Source organism: Homo sapiens, chromosome 7, assembly GCF_000001405.40.
Source record: "Homo sapiens chromosome 7, GRCh38.p14 Primary Assembly".
Lineage (NCBI taxonomy): Eukaryota > Metazoa > Chordata > Mammalia > Primates > Hominidae > Homo > Homo sapiens.
In genome coordinates, this window is record NC_000007.14 from 96,048,491 (window position 1) to 96,073,477 (window position 24,987).

General features: G+C 37.9%; 1 protein-coding gene and 1 long non-coding RNA gene across 6 annotated transcripts in view, besides 1 other annotated feature; both read left to right on the forward strand.

Moving 5' to 3' along the window:
- The window catches only part of DYNC1I1 (dynein cytoplasmic 1 intermediate chain 1), a 337,769-nt gene that overhangs the window by 275,937 nt on the left and 36,845 nt on the right, over positions 1 to 24,987 (forward strand). The gene's annotated exons all lie outside the window — the stretch shown is intronic.
- Positions 1,492 to 9,766, forward strand: LOC124901701 (uncharacterized). Its single transcript, XR_007060441.1, has 2 exons — positions 1,492 to 3,554; positions 7,278 to 9,766. It is a non-coding gene; the product is annotated as an uncharacterized LOC124901701 (long non-coding RNA).
- Positions 18,728 to 19,227: an enhancer, noted in NCBI's record as "eDlx#24 fragment used in the reporter transgene". NCBI's record gives its function as "activates a minimal E1b promoter in the forebrain, pectoral fin and heart of transgenic zebrafish {active_cell/tissue: fin | forebrain | heart}" and the evidence as "EXISTENCE:transgenic organism evidence [ECO:0001131][PMID:22914741]".

The following is a 24,987-nucleotide window of genomic DNA, read 5'->3' on the forward strand; positions in this document are numbered from 1 at the left end:
ACCCCAGACCTTCTGTGTCAAAAACTCTGGGGATGGGAGCCAACAATCTGTGTTTTAGAAGCCTTCCAAGTAATCCAGATGTTGCTAAAATATAAAGAGCCATGCCCTAAACCACCGTAAAGTTCTATTTCAAACATCCCATCCTACAGAGCTGGTGGGGCAGTTCAGTTACATTGAGGGACCCTTCCTTTCTCCCAGGGTTGTGTTAGAGAACTGGGGATCTAGTTTAGGGTTCAGACAGGAGAATGAAAACTATTGTCCCACCTGCAACAAGGTTTCCTCATATAATGAATATGCTACATGTTCTGGCCAGAGGTTTGTACGGTGAATGTATTTGAAACCCCAAATTAATTCTAACCCTTTATGTTGTCCTAAACAGTTACGCTTGAAACTTGACAATATGGGCTAATGGCTTTCTCCTCTTCTTAATCTCTATGAGCGTAAAATTTAAAGGAAGCAATCACATCTCTTAAAATTACTAATCACAGGCCGGGCACAGTGGCTCACGCCTGTAGTCCCAGCACTTTGAGAGGCCGAGGCAGGCAGATCACAAGGTCAGGAGATTGAGACCATCACGGCTAACACGGTGAAACCCCGTCTCTACTAAAAATACAAAAATTAGCTGGGCATGGTGGCGGGTGCCTGTAGTCCCAGCTACTCGGGAGGCTGAGGCAGGAGAATGGCGTGAACCCAGGAGGCAGAGCTTGCAGTGAGCCAAGAGTGTGCCACTGCACTCCAGCCTGGGTGACAGAGCAAGACTCCATCTCAAAAAAAAAAAAAAAAAAAAAAATTACTAATCACATTTTGCAGGACTATGGCTGAAAATAACCTTTATCTTAATAAAAGAGGCAAAGTAAAAAAAATACTCTCTTGAAAATATTGGAAATGGAGTTTTTTGGCCTTTTTCCATCTTACTGACAATGAGAATTTTCATGGAAGTGTAGCGGAGACAAAGATATGAGATGGGTAATTATTGTAGTCCCTTTTGACAATAATGATTACCTTCATAATCTTTACTTTAAACTTATTGGGTAACTTGGAGTCATCTTATCATTTAAACAAGGCAAAGAAGTTTATAATAGAGTCTTAATAGGATTAGTGATAGCCTCACACTTCAGCTTGTAAATTAAATAACATAAGGAAAAATCCTCCAAATCGTAGAAAGAATTGGTGCTAAGAGACAACACTATGAAATAGAATGAAATCAAATTTTTTAAAAGTCTGCAATATAATACTTTGTTGATAAAATACAGTATAGTGGTGGGGCACAGTGGCTCACACCTGTAATCCCAGCACTTTGGGAAGCCGAGGTGAGCGGATCACCTGAGCTCAGGAGTCCGAGACCAGCCTGGGCAACATGGTGAAACCCCGTCCCTACTAACAATACAAAAAATTAGCCACGCATGATGGCTCATGCCTGTAGTACCAGCTACTCAGGAGGCTGAGGCAGGAGAATTGCTTGAACCTGGAGGGCACAGGTTGCAGTGAGCCGCTGCACTCCAGACTGGATGACAGAGAGAGACTCCATCTCAAAAAAAACAAACAAACAAAAAAAAAAACAGTATAGCTCAAAAAGATAACCAGAAAAGATCAAAAGCAAACAATTCGACAACAAGAAAATTTGGCAACAGAAATATGCATTTTATACACTCTACTGCCCAAGAATTCACATGTCTAACATAATAATAAAATATTAAAAAAGGAAGTCTGTATTCGAGGGGGAATGTCATGCTGGAATTAGCACAGTGAGCAAAATGAATCTCACCCTGAAGCCTATAGAGAAGTCCATATGAATTCACTTTGCATAGCTAAATGATTGCCAGAGAGACAATAACACTTCACATACTGAAAGAGAGAAGTGATGATTTTAAAGATCCAAATTTAAAATGAAACTTCTCTACATGGGATCTTAGAAATACTGTAGTTAAATGAAAAAGCATATTTAGAGAAAATGCAATCATTGTCAATTCTCTTTGTGATTTGAATAGTTAATATTTCCATTAATTTTATAGGGTTTTATTTAAACTTTCCATGAGGATTGAACAGGTTGAGTTTTTGAAGTGGGACAAACATGATATTACATATTTTGGGGGTGCTAAGTTCCTAAACAATACCCTTTCCCATTCGGTTTATCTTGTGCCTTTTTCTACCAAACTGCAGTTTCACCCTCTACAGCCTGTATTTATCCCCATGATTGCCACTAGACCTGCTTCTTCAAAAGTTGCCCTGACCTGCTTTCTTGCCTGTTCCAGGGGTCATTTTTATCATTTTCCTTTTCTTTGATGACTTTGCTGCTTTAATAATGTTGATTAGTCCCTTGGAACATCCTTTTTTCAATGAGGCTGCTTTTAGAGGATAGTAAAAAAACTACATATTTTAGTCTGTCCATTATGATCCTTTAAAAAAAAGTACTAAAAATGCATTGCCTGAATAAATTCTGTTGAGTACCAACTCTTACCTTTTACTGTATCTTAGCACATTAAATTTCCTGTCCATCAAAACATGCTGGAGCTGATGCTCAGAAATAAAGTATGTACTCTTGGCTGGATTAAGACATTCATTATTCCACTCAGCTTGTCTGTTTGCTGAGGTTTTGGATAATTTTTTTTCCTGTGCTGCAGTTTAGTTTAGTGGCTAGACAAGTTCTGAGTCTTTGGATTTTTTTATTAATGCATCCAGTTTGGAAAGTTTCAGTGGATTCCAGTTAAATTTTGGGTTAATATTTATTTTGGTCCTGGTACAACTTCAGGGGGATTTAGGTTCATGATACTGTTCATGTATTTGCCAGGTCAGTCCCTTTCTTTAGACTTCAATGGGCTTATGTTTCTTCTATTTGTATTAAATCTATCTTCTAAATCCTTTCTGCTCTCAACTTTTGGGTCTTAAAATTCAATTCCATTATGTCGACTGATCAGGTATATGGCCTAACTTAACCCATGTGTTTGTATTTGGTGTGGATTTTGGACACCACCCTGGGGTGCTGTCATCCAAGAACCTTTCGTGATACACATTTGATTGATGGAAATCACTGACTTCCCCTGAATATATCTTGACATTGTAGACATTGTACAATCTTTCCTAGCAGTTAACATGCATCTCAATCCTCTAATCTTTTAACAGTGACTCTGCTCTGAGAATAAAATTTTCTAAGTGACTGGAGAATTATGACTTTGCACAAATTAGAAAGATAATCTTTAATTTTCAAGCAACTACTGTGAAATCAATAAATATTACCTATTTCACTTTTACATCCTCTGATGGGGTTAAAATATAAGATGGCTGTCTTAGCTGATTGTTTTCCCTGTTAGCTACTAGAAAAGAATAATTTGAATTTTATGAATAAAAGAGACAAGAAACATTTTTTCCTGAGGAAGAACATTTGTTATTCCTTTTTAAATATCTTCATTTAAATGATTATGTATTACAATAAATGTTAAGTATGGGTATATTATAAATAATACAATGATTAAAAAATTTATCTCTTGAATCACAGTGAGTATGCAACTGGGACAGAATTGCCATCCTTTCCCTGTAAGACTGTGAGCTCCTTGAGAGTAAGTCCCTGTGTTTTTTGTCTGTATCCCATTACCTGGCATAGTGCTTGGGACCTGGTAGGCACTGAGTAAATCACTGAATTAATACATGAATAAATAAATGCTGGTTTTTAAAAAGATGTACATTGAAAGCATACTATAGCAAATATTTAGTTAGCAGTAGTTTTGAGCAGTAAAATTCATAGCCATAATTTAGAAATATAATAATTAGAAACTGAGGTTAAGCTTTAAAAATCCTACTAGGAAATATTTAAGAAACCATAACATTGAAAAAAGAAAGCAGAAGTTTGAAGGAAATTTAGTTAGGTAAAGGGAGAAAGGAAAGGGCATTCAAGCAGAATGAACAGAGTATGGAAAAACACAGACACATGAGATAGTTAGTACTCTCTAGCTGTGTGAACCTAGAAAAGTTACTTAACCTCTCTGTGCTGCAGTTTAGTCATCTCTAAAATGGGGATTAAAATACCTCCTATTTCATGAAGTTCTTGTGAAGATTAAATGAGTGAATAGTTGTAAAGATGTTAAAACCATGCTAAGTATAGGGTAAGAATATTAAAGATGTAGCAATAGTAATAATTACCACTATTACTGTTGAATATTATGGTAATTGTTGCTGTTGTTATTTGGATGCTAAAGTGCTTTAGTAAGGCTGGAGCAGTGGGTACAAGGTGACTGGAACAGAATAATGAAAGGACAGCTCTCGGGACAAAATGGGATCAGATGACAAAAGGCAAAAAGGCAGCCTTGTGATGCCATGCGATGGAGTGTAGACTTTCTTCTGAAGATGACAAAGGTGACAGCTTATGTGAAAGTAGGGCCACATCACCTCTTGCCTGATGTCATGTAGACTGAAGGTGGGCAGTAAGGACATCTTACCTTCTCCTCAGTATTTTGAACAACAGTGATAGTGTAATGTCCTACCTCTGATGACTGCTCTATCAAATTACCAGCAGTATTTATGTTCCAGAGTAACCCCTGGATACATCACATGCATCCCTCCTATCTCCACAGTAGTTGATTGGATTATGAATGCACACTCTCACAATTCCACCTCATAAAATGATAGCGACTTCATTGACTGGAGTATTTACTTTTGCAATCCTTCATGAGGCTGCCCCGCCCAATTCACTACATCTAAGTTTTCAGACGAAGCCAATTATGATTACAATAGTCATAATAATAATTGTAGCTGCATTTAACTGAATAATCACATGTGACTGGCATTATGCCACTGATGTCACATAATTTTAAGTGTATTTCTGTAAATACATTGCCACACGACCTCATCTGGAATGGATCACTGCAGAATTATCTCATCTGGCCTTTCTGCTAGCTTTATGTTTACTGGCTTCTATATTTTATCTTCAGTTTGGCTTTTCTTTTTATCAACTTATAATTGTTTTTAAATTTGGGGGGCCAAATATATATTCCCTTCCTCATCCTTCTTGGTTCCAACAAACTCCTGTCACTAGCACTTCTAATCCTCACCCAAAACCCCATTAGTCTTTTCACACCTGCTCTCCAAAGTCCTGACTTCTTGAAAGGGATTTAAAAGTGGCAAGACAAAAAGACAGAGGTACTTTCATTTGTCTTAGATCTCAGGAAAGTATGTGTAGGCATATCTAGGTATATTTTAATATTTCTTTTATGATATCTATGTATTTCTTTAACTTGTTTCACAATTTAGTGCATACTTACACTTTTTTTTAGAATAGGATATTGCTTTGTTCATCTTTATCCCGTGTCTCACATATGTTAGTTTCCTAGTATTACACACAATGTGGCATGAGTAGAATTTGCCCATTAAAAATAATTACTACTTTATCAACATGGGACAAAAAATATTGGAAGATTATTCTCATTCTTCTGGTACTTTGTAAAGAATAGATATAATAAGAATTTTGTAGTGGAAAAATATAATTAATTTTTTAAGCTTTCTTTTTTTATTATACTTCTGGGATACATGTGCAGAATATGCAGGTTTGTTACATAGGTGCCATAGGTTTGTTATATACACGTGCCATGGTGGTTTGCTGCACCCATCAACCCGTCATCTACATTAGATATTTCTCCTAATGCTATCCCTCCCCTAGCCCCTCACCCCGCAACAGGCCCTGGTGTGTGATGTTCCCCTTTCTGTGTCCATATGTTCTCATTGTTCAACTTCCACTTATGAGTGAGAACATGCGGTGTTCGGTTTTCTGTTCCTATGTTAGTTTGCTGAGAATGATGGTTTCCAGCTTCATCCATGTCCCTGCAAAGGGCAGGAACTCATCCTGTTTTATGGCTGCATAGTATTCCATGGTGTATATGTGCCACATTTTCTTTATACAGTCTATCGTTGATGGGCATTTGGGTTGGTTCCAAGTCTTTGCTATTGTGAACGATGCTGCAATAAACATACATGTGCATGTGTCTTATAGTAGAATGATTTATAATCCTTTGGGTGTATACCCAGTAATGGGATTGCTGGGTCAAATGATATTTCTGGTTCTAGATCCTTGAGGAATTGCCGCACTGTCTTCCACAATGGTTGAACTAATTTACACTCCCACCAACAATGTAAAAGCATTCTTATTTCTCCACTTCCTCTCCAGCATCTGTTGTTTCCTGACTTTTTAATGATCTCCATTCTAACTGACAGTGAGGTTTTGATTTGCATTTCTCTAATGACCAGTGATGGTGAGCTTTTTTTCATGTTTGTTGGCCACATAAATGTCTTCTTTTGAGAAGTGTCTGTTCATATCCTTTGCCCACTTTTTGATGGGGTTGTTTTTTTCTTGTAAAATTGTTTAAGTTCCTTGTAGATTCTGGATATTAGCCCTTTGTCAGATGCATAGATTGCAAAACTTTTCTCCCATTCTGTAGGCTGCCTGTTCACTCTGATGATAGTTTCTTTGGCTGTGCAGAAGTTCTTTAGTTGTATTAGATCTCATTTGTCAATTTTGGCTTTTGTTGCCATTGCTTTTGGTGTTTTAGTCATGAAGCCTTTGCCCATGCCTGTGTCCTGAATGGTATTGCCTAGGTTTTCCTCTAGGGTTTTTATGGTTTTAGGTCTTACGTTTAAATCTTTAATCCATCTTGAGTGGATTTCTGTATAAGGTGTAAGGAATGGGTCTAATTTCAGTTTTTTGCATATGGCTAGCTAGTTTTCCCAACTCCATTTATTAAATATGGACACAGGGAGGGGAACATCACACACTGGGGTCTGTCGGGGGCTTGGGGGTTAGAGGAGGGAGAGCATTAGGAGAAATACCTAATGTAGATGATGGGTTGGTGGGTGCAGCAAACAACCATGGCATGGGTATACCTATGTAACAAACCTGCATGTTCTGCATATGTATTCCAGAACTTAAAGTATAATAAAAAAGAATAGTTTTCAAAAAATAATTATATTTATTTTTCCACTGCAAAATTCTTATTATAGTTATTCTTTACAAAGTACCAGAAGAATGAGAATAATCTTCCAATATGTTTTGTCCCATGTTGATAATAAAGTAGTAATTACTTCTAATGGGCAAATCCTACTCATTCCATATTGTGTGTAATACTAGCAAACTAACATATTTAGACTCAGGATAAAGATGAACAAAGCAATATCCTATTCTAAAAAAAAACAGTGTAATTATGCACTAAATTGTGAAACAAGGTAAAGAAATACATAGATGTTGTAAAAGAAATATTGAAATATACTAAGAAAAAAACTCTTCTTTTTCTTTCCAGAGTGAAGTAACTGGCCCTCCCATAAATTCTAGGGAACCAGGCCTCAGTGTTTATTACTGGAAATGCACCAGCTTTGTGGAAGTTTCTGGAAAGGAATGTTGTGGAATTGGTGATTAAGTGGAATAGCTTTCTCTTCTGTCCCCTGGTTCATTGACTTGATCTAAGCCCAAGGCAAAAGTAAGAGGAGGTCTCTTATAATCTGTCAGCTTCCTTCTCACTTAGGACCTTCCTTAAGGATTAAAAACTTAACTTTTAAACCAGAGTTCCTCTTTACCTCTCTGCCAGACCCAACTACATTAAGGGATTTGACGGGTCACCAATCCAGGAGGGTTATGCATGAGACACTTGGCTTCCACCCACCTATGGAATTTAATTTATGCCTGGTTGGTTTGATTTTTTTTTTCCCTCAATCACCCTCCTTTAACAAAGGCCAGTCAATGAGCTGAGTTTTGCTGTCTTCTGCTATTAGGACCATTTTCTTAAGGTAGCAATCCATAGACCATCACAATGAAGTGTGTTTGTGTCTATGAGTGTGTACCTGTGTGTGACATTCTTTCTTTTCTTTACAGTATTTTATGTTTAGCTTGATCTGTAATAAATTAAAGTGGTCATGCTTTTCTCTAAGGATGACCTCCTCCAGCTCCACTCAAGAAAGTCTATTTATTGGGAAAATAGTTCCTTAACAGCAGAGAAAGACTATATCTTCTTTATCAAGTTTGTGACAAAATTATTACCAGTTTCTCTGAGGTAGGTCTCTCCCCATGCTCATTCTTCCTACATAATCCTTTTAGATAATCTACCCAAAATATACTTTTCATTATGCCATTTCCTTATACTACAACATACAGTAGTGTTTGTATTCTGTGGAACTCTAACAGGCATTTCTCAAAGGCAAGAGTTCCATGATTTACTCTCTCTATATATATCTATATCTATATATAGTATATGCATATAGCATATGCAAATGTATATTTACTATATATATAGTGTGTATATATATATGCAGAAAGTTAAAGTCAACAAGCATCTGTAGTAAGAAGGTCTTTTTTAATTTATTCTTCACGAATGAGCTGCATATATGGCATGTGAAGTTTATCAGAGTGACCTAAATACGGGATTGGTTTTTAACCAAGCATACCAAAGAATAGTAGTCCTGAAAAACATAACTCTGGAAACTAACTGATAATTGCATTACTTGCTTTCTTAATCATTTCAAACACCTCCACCTGCATTTCATGGTTCTTCACACTTTTAGACAGGTGTCTAACCATTAGTCTCATAAACTAGGCACATAAATGTCCAGGGGCAGGTAAAGTTACTGGAGAAGTGTGTGGTGCTCCTGGGTGTAGGAACTCCAGGGAGAATTAAAGAACTTGTTAAACAAGGTGGCCTTAATTTGAACCCCTTAAAGTTTCTGGGTTTTGACTGGAACTGGAGAGATCAGAAGTTGAGGAGAATGAGGAAAGTATTGGAACTTTTGGAAATGGGTGTGCTCAGTCTGTGCGAGTCAGAGTCCTTGAAACTGGGCCTTTTCTACGTCTGAGTCCTAATGAAGATTCCAGTTTTCACAGTAGAAGTTAAAGAAAAAAAATGTCTAGAAAGGAGTGATTTAGAGATCTTTCTAGGCCCATATTTTTCCCATCTTATGTTAATTGTAATTGGGTCAGTTAGAATTTGGTCTGTTAAATAAAATGGTTTAATATTTTGAACTGTCCACCTATTCTTACATACCATTTAGTAGTGGACTCAGATGCCTAAATTATCTACCAGGTTTTTTCTGGCTCAATAATGCAACACTCCTATAGTCAGAAAACAATTATTGTAATAATTTTAATCAATGCCAGAAAATTTAATACCTGAATATGATGTAAATGTTTTTTATTGCATTTATGTGTTAGTTGCTTCCCTCTTTTCCACTGAGCTGTAGCTTCTTAAGGTCAGTGATCATATTTTACATCTATTCTATACTCTCCATAGCTCTCAGTCAGGGTACTAAATGATTAATGTGTCATATAGGCTGATTGTCTTATTGACCAATTACATATCAATTAAATTAAGTTGCCAGCAGTCATATTTCTGGCAACAATTATAGGACAGGATAATCTCTGAGGTTTTATATGTATTGTGAATTTATTTCCATCCTCATTTGGACACCCTAGTGACTGAAACACAACTGACCCCCATGGACCTACAAAGACACCTCAGTCCATTCCTTATTGATGTCTCTGACTACTCCATTCTCCATTTATCACCTTTTTTTCACTCCATTGATCTTTCCTCTTCTGTCCAATCAAATGTACAATGTTTACATACCAACCAACATGTTATCATTGCAAAACATGCAAGAATAACAGCACAAATATAATTGACATTCTACCATGAAGTAAGGGCAAATATTGTCTTCTCTATCCTCGTAGTCAAAAGAATACTAGATTTGTTAGATTTTATCAATTATTTATTCATTAAACCAGCATTCATGGAGAACGTAATGTGTTTTTAAATTCATGCTTTGTGTTTTTAACTTTGATAAGAATAGAAACGTGACACGATCTCTGGTGCCAACAGGTTCATAGCCTACATCTTACTACTCAAACTTGTGTAATCAATAGAACTTCTTTAAAAAGAGATGTTTTGTCCACCTTTAGTATTGCCTGAAGTTAGTTTCATGTAACTTAAATACATCTAGACAAAGAACAAGTTATACATTCCTTATACTTATTCATTCAATACATGACCATTTATTGAGAGCTTACTATAGTTCAGTTACTGGGAGTATCACAGTGACAAGGGCAGACAAAACCCCCCCGACTTCACAAACTGTTTATTCTGGTGGGAAGAAACAGTGTGGAAACCAAAGAAACAAATATAGTTAATTATGTTTTTTTGAGACGGAGTCTCACTCTGTCGCCCAGTTTGGAGTGCAGCAGTGCGATCTCAGCTCACTGCAACCTCCACCTCCTGGGTTCAAGCGATTCTCCTGCCTCAGCCTCCTGAGGCAGGAAATTACAGGCATGTGCTACCATGCCTGGCTAATTTTTTTTTTTTTTTTTTTTTTTGGTGGAGACAGGGTTTCACCATGTTGGCCAGGCTGGTCTGGAACCCCTGACCTCAGGTGATCCACCAGCCTCGGCCTCTCAAAGTGCTAGGATTACAGGAGTGAGCCACCGCACCTGGCCAGTTAATTCTTGTTATGTACAACAGTTGTATTCTATAAAGTTGCCACAAATGCCAAACTGACAAATACTAAATGAACCATTGCTTCTGAGGGAGATACTGGATTTGATTCCTACGACCTTCTGGTTACAACATTTTCATCAGCCTATGAATACATTATCTTATTGTATGTGTGTTTCTGTTTAAAGACACTTGATTTAATGTGTATTGTTGGTTCATTGACATTGGATCCTTAGCCAATAGCTCATGCCTGAAGGATGCTTGTTTAACACATGTATTTTTCCAGTAGGGCACATCACAGCCTTCTGGCACTTAGGAACACTAGACAGCACTTCAGCACTATGCTTGGGGCCATTCCAAACAGTGAAATCGAAAAAAAAAAATGCAAAAACCATGGCACCAAATAGGCAACAAAAAAAAGATATTTGTTTACAATATGAGAGCTGAAACAAGAAAGGAGTGTAGTCTTATTCTGTCTGAGCTGGGAACAGGTACATCAGGGGACTCAAATTTTTTGCCACTCTTTGCTTATTCATGAATGATCTAGGAATATTTATTTTGGGGTTACAAGTAAATTTCAGAAAGTAAGAGAATTTGCAACCATGGAATCCATAAAAAATGAGGACTGATTTCATATAATAAATATTCAGATAGGAATGAATGTTGCAAAAAAAAATGAAACAGATCTGGAGAGTGATGGGGGTTTGGAAGAACTGTTTGAGCTGGGTGACTAGGACAGTCTGCCCTGAGGAGGGGACACTTTAATAGATACGAATCTTCAAAAGTAGTTAGCCCTGTGAAGATGGAGGACAGAGGGAGCAAGTGTTAAAGTCTGTGAATCAGGAGCAAGCTTGACTTGGTTTGTGTGAGGAACAGGACAGAGGTCTTCATGCCTGCAACAACAACAACAAAAAACTGAACCGACAGAAGATGAGCTTGAAAAGCTAATCAGTGGTCAGATAATGTATGGTCTTTTTGGCCTACTAAGTGGCTTAGACTCTGTTCTAAAGGGTAATGAGAAGCCACTGAGGGTTTTAAAATATATTTGAGCTATAGCTTATTAGATAATTTTACAGCCTTCCCCCAAAGTTTACAAATCAAATTTACCCCCAAACAATAACCATTTAAGTGAATCACATTAACTTAATGTGACAAGTGGATGCTTCACTGAAACTAAAGTTCTATTCACAGTATGACTATCGGGCTGACTTCCCTGGTGCAGGTTCTTCCCAGTTCAGCCACCTTCGTGACCCTGTGTGGGTGATGGCTCCAAGAACCACCCTCCTGTGGCACAAATCCATCATTACATATTCATGGTTCCTGGATGTGGTCTCTTCCCCCAAGTCTCTCACGACTGTAGCAAAGACACTCCAGCAGGCCTGAAGTCCGACATACATGGTTATAAGGCAGCAGCAAGCAGGTGATCCCTAGCATGCTTTTTGACTCTCATCTAAAGGAAAACATAAAATAAATGTTTCCATTAGAGAACTCATAGATACCCCACAATCCCTCAAGAAGGAAACCCACAGCCCTGCAAATTGTTTGAAAACCTTGCTCTCACAGAGGATTATTAGGGCAGTGAAAGTATTCTGTATGATGCTATAATGGTGGATATATGTCATGATAAATATGTCCAAACCCATAGAATGTACCATACCAAGTGTGAACCCTGATGTGAACTATGGAGTGTGGATGACAATGATGTGTCAGTGTGGATCCATCAGTTGTAACAAATGCACCACTCTGGTAGGGGATATTTACAATGGGAGAGGCTGTGCATGTGTTGGGGAAAGGAGCATATGGGAAATCTCTGTATACTTTCTATTTAATTTTGCTGGAACCTAAAACTGCTCTAAAAAATAAAGTCTAAAAAAAAAAACCCTTGCTCTACATGCAAAACTCAATGACGCTTCAGTAATGAAGGAAGAGTGTATTTAAATACTATAACAGCGTAAGGCAGACACAAAGGCAGCCCCAAAATGGAACACCGAAAAAGAAGTCAGAAAACAATGGCTGAGGCTGGAGAAAATGAGACATCTCCCTGTGTTCTGTCAGTGTTTGAGAGGGGATTGTGGGGTGAGGGAGGACTTTATCTGGATGGCAAGATCAGACCCTTTGCGAGGAGAGAGAATAGTACATTCTCTAAGAGCAGAAAGCAGTGTGAACAAAGGCTTGGAGACCAGAATGCGTTCAGTGTGTGGAGGAGATGGTGAATGCAGCCGACTGGCTGGAACAGAGGGTTTTAATTAAGGAGCGAAGGGGAAAACACACTTGGAACGCCTGGTCCTGCCATTTCAGCACGAATCTGCCCAGTGGGATCAGATGGTGGTATTCATAGCCCTGGACTGTCTTGTCAAAGTGTTGGCTGTGGAATCTGTAGCATGGAGGTACTTTCTCAATGTAGCTATTTGTACTGAGCCTGTCACTAGCTCGGGAAGAGGTAAAAATTACTTGACAGTGTCTCTGGACTCTCACCCATCCAAAGCGTAAGAGAGGATGGGGAGTGTCAGAGTGGGTGGGCATTGGGGAAAGTGAGTTCTTAAGAACTGGAGCTTTCAGTGAAAGAGAATAAAGGGCATTAGGAGGCTTACCTAGAGTTGGGCGGCAGTCATGCCAGGCAAGCAGGCCCCCACAGTGGAATCTCCGAACCCTCCCACTTCCCAATAGTGAGCCGTTCACCCCCAGAGTGCTTGATTTGGTATGGAAAAAGAGTCTCTCTCTCTCTTCCTCTCTCTCTCTCCCTCCCTCCCTCCCTCTCTCTCTCTCTCTCTCACACACACACACACACACACACGCACACAAACACACACACACACACACTCCAATTTATCAAAAATCACTTTGGAATTTAAAATCTCAGCTAATGACCTTTCTCAGAATAAAAAAGTCACATTTTCGTCAAGTTCTATGGGTTCCCTATTAAATTGCAAATGTGGACCATTTGGCATATGCAGTTCACCCATTTAAACCCATTTGACTTTGTAAGGCGGGGTGATAACATTTTGGATTTCATTTTTGTTTGTCCTATAAGAGTCTTGAGTTTTAGCCAAAAACCCAGGCCTTGGATGAATGTGCTTTAGACCTCACTTTTTGTCACAAGGCCAAGTGGACTTGAGAGAGAGGGTGGAGCGGTCTGTTGAAACATGATTTTTAGTTTTGCCCTTCGCCTCTGGAGCCAGGGCCCTGGCCCACGTCCAGCTGCAGGAAGAGAAGATGATGGTATTTTCTAGGTAATTTTAAGGAGCACAAACCTAAAGTAAAGTCAGGTGGTTTCAAGTCTGCACTGAATTTTTCATGTTAAGGATTTATCATGATTTGGGTTTTCAGCAGAGCTGTATTTTAAATGATGAAGGGAGCTGTATTCCTGTATTCTTCCGGAGACAGACATGTTTTGGTTGTTTGCTAATGACCTCTGGTTTTGCTTATGGGGAGTTTTGTTAACAAATGGAAATTTAGCAAAATAGAATACTTTCCTTCTTTTGTTTTTTTCTTTTTTTTTTTCTCTCTAAACAATGGGAACCCTTGCAGTAAACTGTCAAAACCAGGCTATAGATATTTGTTACTGTAGCATCATTAATACTGTGTAAATATAAGTTAGTCGCTTCGGCAATCAGACATATTCTTCTGATCTTCTGTCTTTGCTTTTAAACAGAGCCTTTGCCTTGCTGTTTGATAGATCCTATTGTTAAGAGAACTGCAGAAATGTATTCAAAAATTCTTCAAAATTTTTCCAACCTCAGGAACCTATTCAACAGTAATTAGCCTTGAAGGCAGCTGATTAAGGACTCTCCCAACTCACTCCCCATCTCACCCTGTAGCCACCATTTCTAAAATAAAAAGAAGTCTGCAGAGGGTGACAAAATTAAACCAAATGAAACTTTAAACTCCGGTGCAGAAGACTTCTGTCTCAGGAAAAAGTAGCTGTCTTCAAGGCAGAACTGACTGACTGGATTGAACTGAATTATAATTTCTGGTTCAAGCTGAGTTGTGTCCCTGGGGTGGTTTGACCTGTTTGTATTAGCTTTCCACTCTCCATCCATATTTGTCCCGGTGGTATCAGGAACATCACAGAACTATGAGTATGACTTAAAGCTAAGTTGAAAAGAGGCTCTGCTGTCTTCAGAAAGGGGAATATATGTGTATGTGTGTGTGTGTGTGTATATATATGTGTGTGTGTGTGTGTGTGTGTGTATGTGTGTGTTTTCTTTCATTACAGGCAGCCTGCCTCTTTCAATGGAGGCGCAATATAGCTGATGGTTGAGCCGTAGTCATTGATTGCAAAGGGATGTGTTTAGGAAGGAGAGAAATAGCTGCTCAGAAATTGCCTTCTTTCTCTCTCAAATTGCACTGTTGGGGGAATTACATAAGTGCAGAATTGTGGGGAACTGTGCGCATGTGTCTGTGCATTAGAGGCCAAGAGGAAAAAAAAAGTCTGCCTTCTCTTCTCATTTGAGAATTATGTTAGTTTGTTAGGGCTGCCATAACAAACTACCACAACCTGGTTTAAACAACAGAAATGCATCCTCTCATAGTTCTGGAGGCTAGAAGTTCAAGATCAAGGTGTCATCAGGGTTGGTTTCCTCTGAAGCCTCTCGCTTTGACTTGTAGGTGGCTGCCTTCTCCCTGTGTCTTCACATGGGCTTCCCTTTGTACACGTTTGTGTCCTAATCTCCTCTTTTTATAAGAACACCAGTCATACTGGATTACAGCCCGCCCATACAACCTCATTTAATCTTAATTATTTCTTTAAAGACCTTACCTCCACAAACAACAGTCTCATATTCCAAGGTACTGGAATTAGGACATCACCATATGAATTTGATGATGGAGAGAGAGGGTGATAATTCCACCCATAAGAGCTAAAGATATTTCATTATCACAATTGATCCTTGGTTATGGACAAATAAAGAGTTAACCATAAGGCCTTTCACTACCGCCACCTCCTAATCCTTATATTGAAGGGCTCCAGTCTCTCCAAGGCTGAATCCCAGAGGCAACAGAACCTTGAAGGACCCATGGATGTCGAGGGAAAGCAGCGGGAACAGTTGATGCAATGTGGTTAGCGGGAGAGGTGGCTTGGCTGATGCTGAATGCAGAGACCGTTGATCACCATCTTCAGAATACATTTACTGACTGGTGCAGGGTATTTAGTTGCCCTGTGGTGCTGGTTTGGATTCAGGCTTCTTTAGAGTCAGTGCTTGTTTCTAAGCATCATTGTTCTTCTCCAGACCAAACATATCAGAATATTTCATGGAAAGAAATATTCATATCTCTCTCTCTCTCTCTCTCTCTCTCTCTCTCTCTCTCCCTCTCTCAGTGTCTCTCCAATTGAAATTTGTGTGTTTCAGGGACATACTGATGCTTTAAGTCAAAGGATAAGTTTATTTGTTTTTAATGAGATACAATTAATCAGACATTTAATTTCCATTGCTTTGTCCCTGTGATCCACAGGAAATTTGTGGCTAGATTTCCTACTATCCAACTCACTAGTGGCCTACCTTTCATTACGATTTTTCATATAGCTTTCTTGCTCAGTAGCAGTTTCCTGATCTTTTCCCGTGGTGTTCAAACATGCTGAAATCTTTGCCATGACTGGGCAGCAAATGTGACCTTCATCAGAGGTTACATCTCAAGGTACCAAAGTGAGGGGAAAGGTTCTGAACCAAGGTAACATGCTAGAAGCACAATAGTTATCCCAAGGAGGATGCCAAATCAAAAATCCATTTGAGAGAGTAGAGGTTTGGTCCTGGGGAGTCTAGGAAAGCCCAAGCCCAGAGCATCAGAGGAAGGCTGAAGGCTCTGTTCACAGGTGTCAGACAAAATAGGACTGAACTCAAGGCTGCGTTCATCACCTAATTACAGTCCATCTTATCTGCCTTCCATTTGCCAGATTGTATGCCAAGTGCTTGAGACAGAAAGCAAAGTAAGAAATGGTCCAAAAAATCAAGGATGGTGTATCTAAATGGACAGTGGGTGGTCTTAAGGCAAAAAAAAAAAGGCAGCCCTAGACACACACTCATGTAGTAGTGTTATGATTTGCTTAGATATTAGTGGTTGATGATTAGATGGGTTCGATTAAAATATCTCAAACATGGCCTAAAATTTGGGTTAGCTTGCAAACCACTTGAAGAATCAGCGTGCACCCACATGGACCATTGCCACATTTGCCAACCACCCTCAACCAACCATATTAATCTTCCAACACTTCTCAGTTTAAGACCATCAACGAATTCCTAATTGCTACATTCAATGGTTTCTTGGTATTATCCACCCCTCATTCCTGCAGCTCTCTCTAGCCCAGTTATGTTCTCCTGCTTTGTCTAGGTCCTCTCCACTGGTTCTCTCTCTTCTACTCTCTCAGCCCAAATGCTCAAAATTTCCTCCATAGTCCTCCTTCTTCTCCATCCTCCCCACTCTTTTCTTTTTTTCTTTCTTTCTTTTTTTTTTTTTTTTTGAGACAGGGTCTCTCTCCGTGGCTTAGGCTGGAGTTCAGTGGCATAATCATGGCTTACTGCAGACTCTATCTCCAGGATTCAATTGATCCTCCCACCTCAGCCTTCCAAATAGCTGGGACTACAGGCATTCATCACCATGCCTGGCTAAATTTTTGGTTTGTTTGTTTGTTTTGTACAGACAGGGTTTCGCCATGTTGCCCAGGCTGGTCTCAAACTCCTTGGCTCAAGCAATTTGCCCGCCTTGGTCTCCCAAAGCGCTGAGATTACAGGCGTGAGCCACCGCGCCGAGCATCCCGGCTCTTTCCTCTCCCACAGCACCTCGTGTGACTGATTCTTTAGTGTGGACTTCAGGCCCACTCTCTCTTTCAACTTCAGACCTGCACTTCCACTGTCAGCCTAACCTGAGTGTCTCTACCAGAGACTCAAATGCACTGTGTTTAAAATACAGATCAGACCTTCCTCTATTTCTCTATTTTTTCTATTTTCTACTCATTTAATGGTATTCGTCATTCAGTTGACTGCACTAGAAAAGCTGAAAACACTCTTGTGAATGTTAAACATCTCTGAATCTGTTTAGCACATAGCACATTTATCAATGCACATTTAATACATTAATAGCTAATTGCAGCAAAAAGTTTTAACTACATACCCAAGACTTTTCATAACATACCCCACTTTTCCCCTACCCAAACCAAAATTATTTTGTTTTCATTATTTCTTAGGACAAATCCTCAGAGTTCACTCAGGCTGTCCCCACCTCTCATCTTTATATCCGTCTGGGAATACCATACTGACTTAACCAGGTTTTTGCATGTTTTGCTCTCCTCTTCTTGACTGTTTTCCTTACCATCTGTCAAAGTCTATGTATCTTTCAAGGCAGGTTCCCTCACCTGTCCTAGATAATACCATCCTTGACCACATCAGACTCTGGTAACACCAACACACCACTACCACCCCCAATCTTCAAATTCCTCTGGCACCTAACATCTGTACCACAGAATTTAGCACCTGGCTACATACTTGTTCTCTTTCTTTGGTATAAACAAGGCAGAGAGCCAGTCTGTTTTCCAGTGATTTGCAGACATGGTAAATTCCTCCCAGAGTTTTTCCCAGAATTGTGTCTTTGAGGGGGAATTTATATTCTTCCTTTCTTCAGATGGTAAAAACCTGGGTACCTCCTTGTGATATGATGTGTTTTCCCTTTTGTCTTAGTTATCAGGAAATTTAGAGCTGTTGCAGAACCATATTGTAATAATCAGCTTATCTCAGGATCCTGGTAATAGCTATGTATTCTACCTCCCTTCTTTAGAACTCTGTTGTGTGTTTGTTCTTAATTTTGCAGTATATTTAACTTGTAAGACTCCATAAATCCTTTTAGAACAAAGTGAGAAAACAGATCCCCAAATAAGCAATATTCTTCTCTTATTATATCATAATTTTCATTCTCTTACCTGGATTGTTTGTGCTTGAGAACAAAATCAGTTCCTGTATTTCTTTTGATTACCCAAAGAAGAAAGCATATGTTAGGTCCTTAATAAATCATTGCTGAAATATGTGCCTTGTTAAAGTAAGTTGGATTATTTTAAATTGAGACAGAAACATCTCCTAAAATGACATCATTCTAACAAAGGGACCTTACCGTGTTTTATTTCTGCTAACGGCAGGAGAAATAAACATCTTCTGATATTTTGAACATTTTGGTAAATGTTCAAAATATCAGAAAAAACATGTCATAAAAATAAAAAGTTGAAGTTTTAGCTATCACCGGCATCTAGACATAAGACTTAAAACAGGCAAGAGGATTAACAAAATCAATAGTTTACTGCCAGTAACACTTACCAGATAACAGAGTGCATTTTTTTCCCGCAACCCCAAAGCCCTGCTGGCTGCCTTTCTAACAAACACAATGTTCAGGTGGTGTCTGACTTATTTTTTTTTCTTCCCTTATCCCCATTTTCATTCCCCTTTCCTAACATAAGATGGCAAACATTAAAATTGGCTTTCAATGAAACTACCTGTGCCAGTCATCAAATTCTTTTCTTTCTTTCCTTTTTTTTTTTTTTTTTATTTCTTCTTAAAGCTCACCCAGGGAGAATACTTTGACTTTGAAAGAAACCACAAGAATGTAATCATAAAGTCACCTCCAGACTTGGCCTGTGTTCATACTTCCTGTCCTTTTACCTCCACCTCTACCCTACCCACCCCCAAACATTCATACATTTATCCACCAACACATACCTATGGCTGTTAAATATTTATGCAGACGTGTGAATAATTCATAAAGGTACAAACACTTTTGAGACTTGAAATTTATTCAGCTGACTGGGCTTTTCCATTGTCCAACAAGTAAGGACTTGGTGAATCCTTTCTTTTGCTCCTTTAACCAGAGTGGAAATGTTTTCCTTTTCATTTTAATGATATATTAAACGAGTTGCCTTCCCCAACCTCCTCCTCCTAAGTAATAATGTTGCAGAGAGAGCATACACACTTAGAAAGAGAGAGAGAGAATGAGAGTAACAAATACGACTATCTACATAATTATGAGATCAAAGATATCCCCACCCCACCTTTCTGCTCTAACCTACATTTTAGTCTAATGTTGGAGGATAAATTAAAACTCATCTTTATCCCCAAAGTAGCTATTTTTGGACCAAACCAATGTGGGTCCATCTTGACCAGCCTCCTGTGACCTCAACCTTGCAAATTGTCCAGGACCCATAATTAATACTAGACTATTTTCCCACTGCCACTTCCAGCATCCTGAATCACCTCACCTCACATTTAGAGCATATTTGTTTCTTGAACAGAAATTGATTTCCATTCGGCTTTAGTGAAACAGAATAAGGTAAACAAATCTGCTACAAAGCAGGAAGCATATTAAATATATTTTACATTTGAACAAAATATGTTGAACTTCTGCTATTTGTGATTCTCCATGCTAGTTCTCTCCACCATTAAAATAAATACAAGTAATATCTGTACTCATATTAAATATAATGTAAAATACATAACATTTAACAATGGGAGATGTGGGAGTGCAGAGCTACATAAAAAACCTCTCCTTGACTCTTTGAAAATGTGTCTTTTATATATATGGTCAATTGTTGACGCAAGAGGTAGAATTAAACGTTTAGATAATTTTACCATTAGATTTTATTAGACATGTTTGATAGGATAAATCTGGGCACTTGGGTATACATTTCTTGAAAAACATAAAATCTTCTAAATGTCATGGTTACTAAATGTAGCGAGATCACTAATGTGAGATTAGCTTTGGAAACTAGAAAATGTTTACCTGAGCATGTGAGAAATAAATATGAAGGGGGAATCAAAGTGTAATCCATAGATCTGAGTTTATATCTGATATTTTTATGCCTTTCTTTAAGAATTGTGTGTATATGTACATATGTATATTTAATTTATTTATATATAGGTGAAATGGGTTGTTAGCCAGATGTTAGAGTAAAAGGTTGGCAGTTTAAGGGCGAGGGTGAAAATATTTTGCTACTTAACTTATCCACTAGTAAAATGTGGTTGCACAATTTGACATTAAATAAGTAATAAATAAGCAAAATAAGTCAAGCCTGCATATTCTACTTTATTTGCTCATTCTTCTAACTTTTCAAGGCTTCCAGGCCCTGATACAACCACATATCTAGCTGCCTCTAGGTCCAGTCCATCCTCATCCCTGTACACCCTCCTAATCCTTAATACCAATGTCCACCTTTTCCCTCCAGTCTCCTAATAAAGTCTCTAATCAACCTGATCATCGTAGATATATAGAATGCTTCTTTGTCTAAATAATACCATGTTGGACATGAAACCACTCAGCCATGGTAAAAATAGAGTTGGAGCAAAGCAATCAAAGGGGGGCTCTTTTGAACCTGCTTGCCTCCTTTACTGCCACATGATCTTTCAGAGAGCAAGACTATCAGTCCAGAATGAGAATAGCAATCAAGAGAACAGCTGCCTCAATTTTGCTAATGAGCCAGCTTGGCTGAACCTGGTTTTGGAGACATAGTGACTCTGCCCTCCTCGACTCAAATAAGCAAGAAGCCAGAATGTCAGTGGAGCCATAGGCATTGAATTGGCTGTAAGAGGTAATTCAAAAGAGCATCCTTGCTTGCTTACTGTTTTCACAATGGTTCTATATAGATTTGTGCTATTAAAACGCCAGTTTTGAATGAGAACCTTGGGTGGAGCTGATATTCATGAAAATCATGCCAGTGTGGGAAACACTCCTTTTATGAATTAAGCAAAGCTTGTAGCTTTTTTCCATGGCTTTAAACACTCAATACTAGTCAAAACCTGTGAATATGTATACATTCTTTTATATGGATAATTAGCTTCTTTATTGGTGGCGCCTCTTGGATTAGGTGGATTCTTCCATGCAAATAAGCAGTAGAGGGAAGCAGTGCAACAAAGAACACCTTTCATGTGGCTTCAGTACTTATTTAGCAAAACTTCTACATTTATAGAGAAGCAAATGCTAAATTCCTGAACTTCTATAACCTTCTTTCAAATTGTTTCATATTAACTAATTCAGGTTAAAGTCCTTGCCTAATTTTGGTTTATGCACACAAAAAACAAATAGACCACTATACATAGTCCATTGAGAATAGTTCACCAAAATTGTTTATGTCCAATTTTGAATTTCTGACCACGATACACACAGGTAAAGATATCATTTAGAGATCATAAGTATTGTTTGAATATTAGCCACAGAAGTTAAGATAAATATAGGATACTTTGTGCATTAGAAGGATCTCAAATTAAGTTGCAAATAAAGTTTCCCAGTGATAGTACCAAATTCATAACACCTCCCTTGGGCCAAGAGAGTTGGTTTTTTGGTTTGGTTTGGTTTGGTTTGCGAGTTTTGGTTTACTTGTTTGTTTAAGCACTTTCTTTTTATGGTGGAAGCATCCATTTTTGTGTGAGCCTGAAGTTTTGGGGTCCTTTGGTGGTTTTTTAAAAGCGATATTGTGGTCTCACATTTTAATGTTTCCTGGAAGAACTAGCTAGCTATTTATTTTAACTACTTCACAGGAACCCACATGACAATTTTTGAAGGACATTTTCTTATTACTCATTGTTTATTATTTTGGTCATCATTTTTCCCAACAGGATATAGTTTTTAAGGTAAGATTCCATGAGTTTTCCTTTTATTTCAGAATTTATAACTTAGAAATTTTACTGTTACTTTATGCCCCTTTTCCCACCGACCCACATGGTACCCCCTACCACCTACCCACCCAAAGATATTTTCATGGTTTGGGTCATTTAGAGACAAATGCAGCCTCGAGAACCACAACATTTTTAGGTGTTAGGAGACATTTTAATACAAATCTTCCTATTCACCAAAACACTAAATCCTATTGGGATGCCTAGAGGCGTGTGATAAGAGAAAAGTAAATAATACAGAGGAAAAGAACCATTATATTCTCTAGATTTAACTTTGGCATATATCTGACATCAGAAATAGAAACTCACCTCTTGTGAAATCATTTTGTTTACTTGATCAGGAAAATCTGCAGGTCTATTCATTTTCAGACATATATTTATAAAACTAAAGCTCAATTCTAGAGATCAAGTCTTATTGTAAAACACTGATGAATGCTGTGAGTTTCATTTTTTAAACAGATTTCACTACTTGCCTCTCCTATGTGAATTTAATATTTTTATTCCTTCTCTAATTGATCAAATAAGAAGTTTATTATTACTTCCATAATTTTAACTTTTTCATTAAAAACCACCCTGGTGCATTTTATATGTCTGTTTTCATGAAATATAGAGTAAGAAAAAAATCACTGTGATATGAACTCCACAAAACATAAAGGAAGATGGCTTTAATGATAATAGTTACCTTTGGAAAATATTTTTACATACTTTTTTTCCATTCTATCCTTACCACAGGGTAACAAAGCACGTAATAAAGCAGTTGTAGAATCACAAAGCTAATAGGAGCCCTTGAGGTCAGTAGCTGCAGCTTTCCATCGTAAGATGCGAAAAGTAAGATCCAAGGATGTTAAGTTAAATTTCCCAAGGTCTGTAGTTTTCCAGTTTCTCCCATTACCTTTTCTGCTCCATGCTACCTTTGCTATTCCCATCTTTCAGATAATATAATTATAGTCCCTCACCCAGAGTCATACAAACCTTCAGTGAACTGAAACAGGTCTTTACCTTCTGACATCATTTTTTTCCACTCTCCACTGCGTAGCCTGCTGTTCATCTTTACTGTCTAAAGGACCATTCCTGTACTTTTTCTAGCTTTCAGGAGAAAAAGATTCCTGTTCATCTCACAAGGTGCTAAAGACTCTTGCAAATATATAGATAACATCCTCAGGATCATTAACAGACTCAGGAAATGAAATAAGCATCTGACTGCATTATTTTTAAACTGTTTCTACAAGTTACATAGTATGTGCTTAGTAAATATTGATGGAATTGAATGGGAGAGTAAAGAATAGAGGTAACAGATCTATTGTCTTTTTTAAATAAGGACTGAAGGTCATTGCTATGTTTTATAGAAGGACCATATAGTCCCAGCAAATAGAGGATATGCTTAACAGCTAGGAAAACCTGAGAACCAAATCCAGCTTTACCACTTAACAACCTTTGTGGCCTTGGGAAAGTTACTAACTTTCCTGAACTGTAATTTTCTTTTCTGTAAATACCGTCTACTTTACAGAGATTTTATGCGGATTAAATTAGACAATGTACATATAGAGTCAGGCACACAACGAACACCCAAAAATTTACCCTCCCTTGCCCTTCATGTCTGCCTGGGAGGTGACCGGTAGCCCGCTTCTCTGCTCTGTTTGAGTCAGAGTATTAAAATCAAGCTGGGCTGTGCCTGGATACTTTACCATTATTGTAACAGCCCTGGAAGCACAAGGTGTCACAATTTTATTTCATTGACATGTACCACACGTGCAGTAGGCCGTGTAACAGTGTAGTTTTCCTTTTTCCCTTTTCTTTAACAGTTTGCTGATACTGAACATGACATAGAAAAGGAAACACAGGTGAAGGGGTTTTTTTTTCTAGTGAAATTTGATTGTTTTGAAAAATGTTCTTTACAGTAACTTGCTGTGGAACAATATTTCATTTACTAACTGGCCTTGAGAATTTTGTAGAGTAAATCTTTAAAATCATGAAGCTTCTGTGGCTTTCATATGTACAAATAGTATTATAAGATTCATTCTCACAATTATTGGTCAAATTTGCCCCCATCATCTCCAGCCTTTTCAAAACTTGCAGTATTCTAAAATGAGTGGTAAAGCACAAGCAAGCTATAACATGTTTGTGGATCCAGAAATTTATGTCTCATAAATTCAAAATCTTTAGAATCTTTAGAACCTCATGCTTTTAACTTCTTTATGAAAATTTTAATACTTCAAAATATACATGAGTTTATGATATACATGAGTTTACCAGTTCTAATACTTTATGATATACATGAGTTTACCTTAAAATATTTTATGCATGAGACAGATTTTTTTAATCAGGTCTTCAGATTACCCTTTGAGCCTGAATAAAATAGAATAATAAAATCCCTTTATCAAAAAACACAACTAATATTCAAAGAGCACTATTGTAAGTGACATTCGCCTGTGCCCATATGTTATGCTTGTGCTTTGCTTGGCAATTAGTGGTTCACAGATGTCAACCTACATGGTACTTTGATAACAAGTTCAATCAATCCTGATCAAGACTTTCCCAACCTGTGAATTTATCAATGTTAAACAGAGCCTTTGAAAATATAAGCCTTCCTCCCTTCTCCCAAACACACACGTACTGTAGCCTAGAATTATTTGCACAGCAACTTTTATAATAAAAGGCTCAGTCTTGGGGTGAAGGGTGATAAGGAGGTTGGAGAAAGGCTAGAGAGCAATAGCATTTCAATCAATACTATTAAATATAAGAAACTGGGTTTTGGTAACATGAACAATAGCAGTTATTTCCAGATACTTAAAATGTGAAGTCTCCAGAATATACTACAGTTTTGGTTACATTTCTCAGAGAAGAAACTACTAAAACAAAAAAGGAAATAAAACACTGAAGATTTACAGGATAATTAAAGA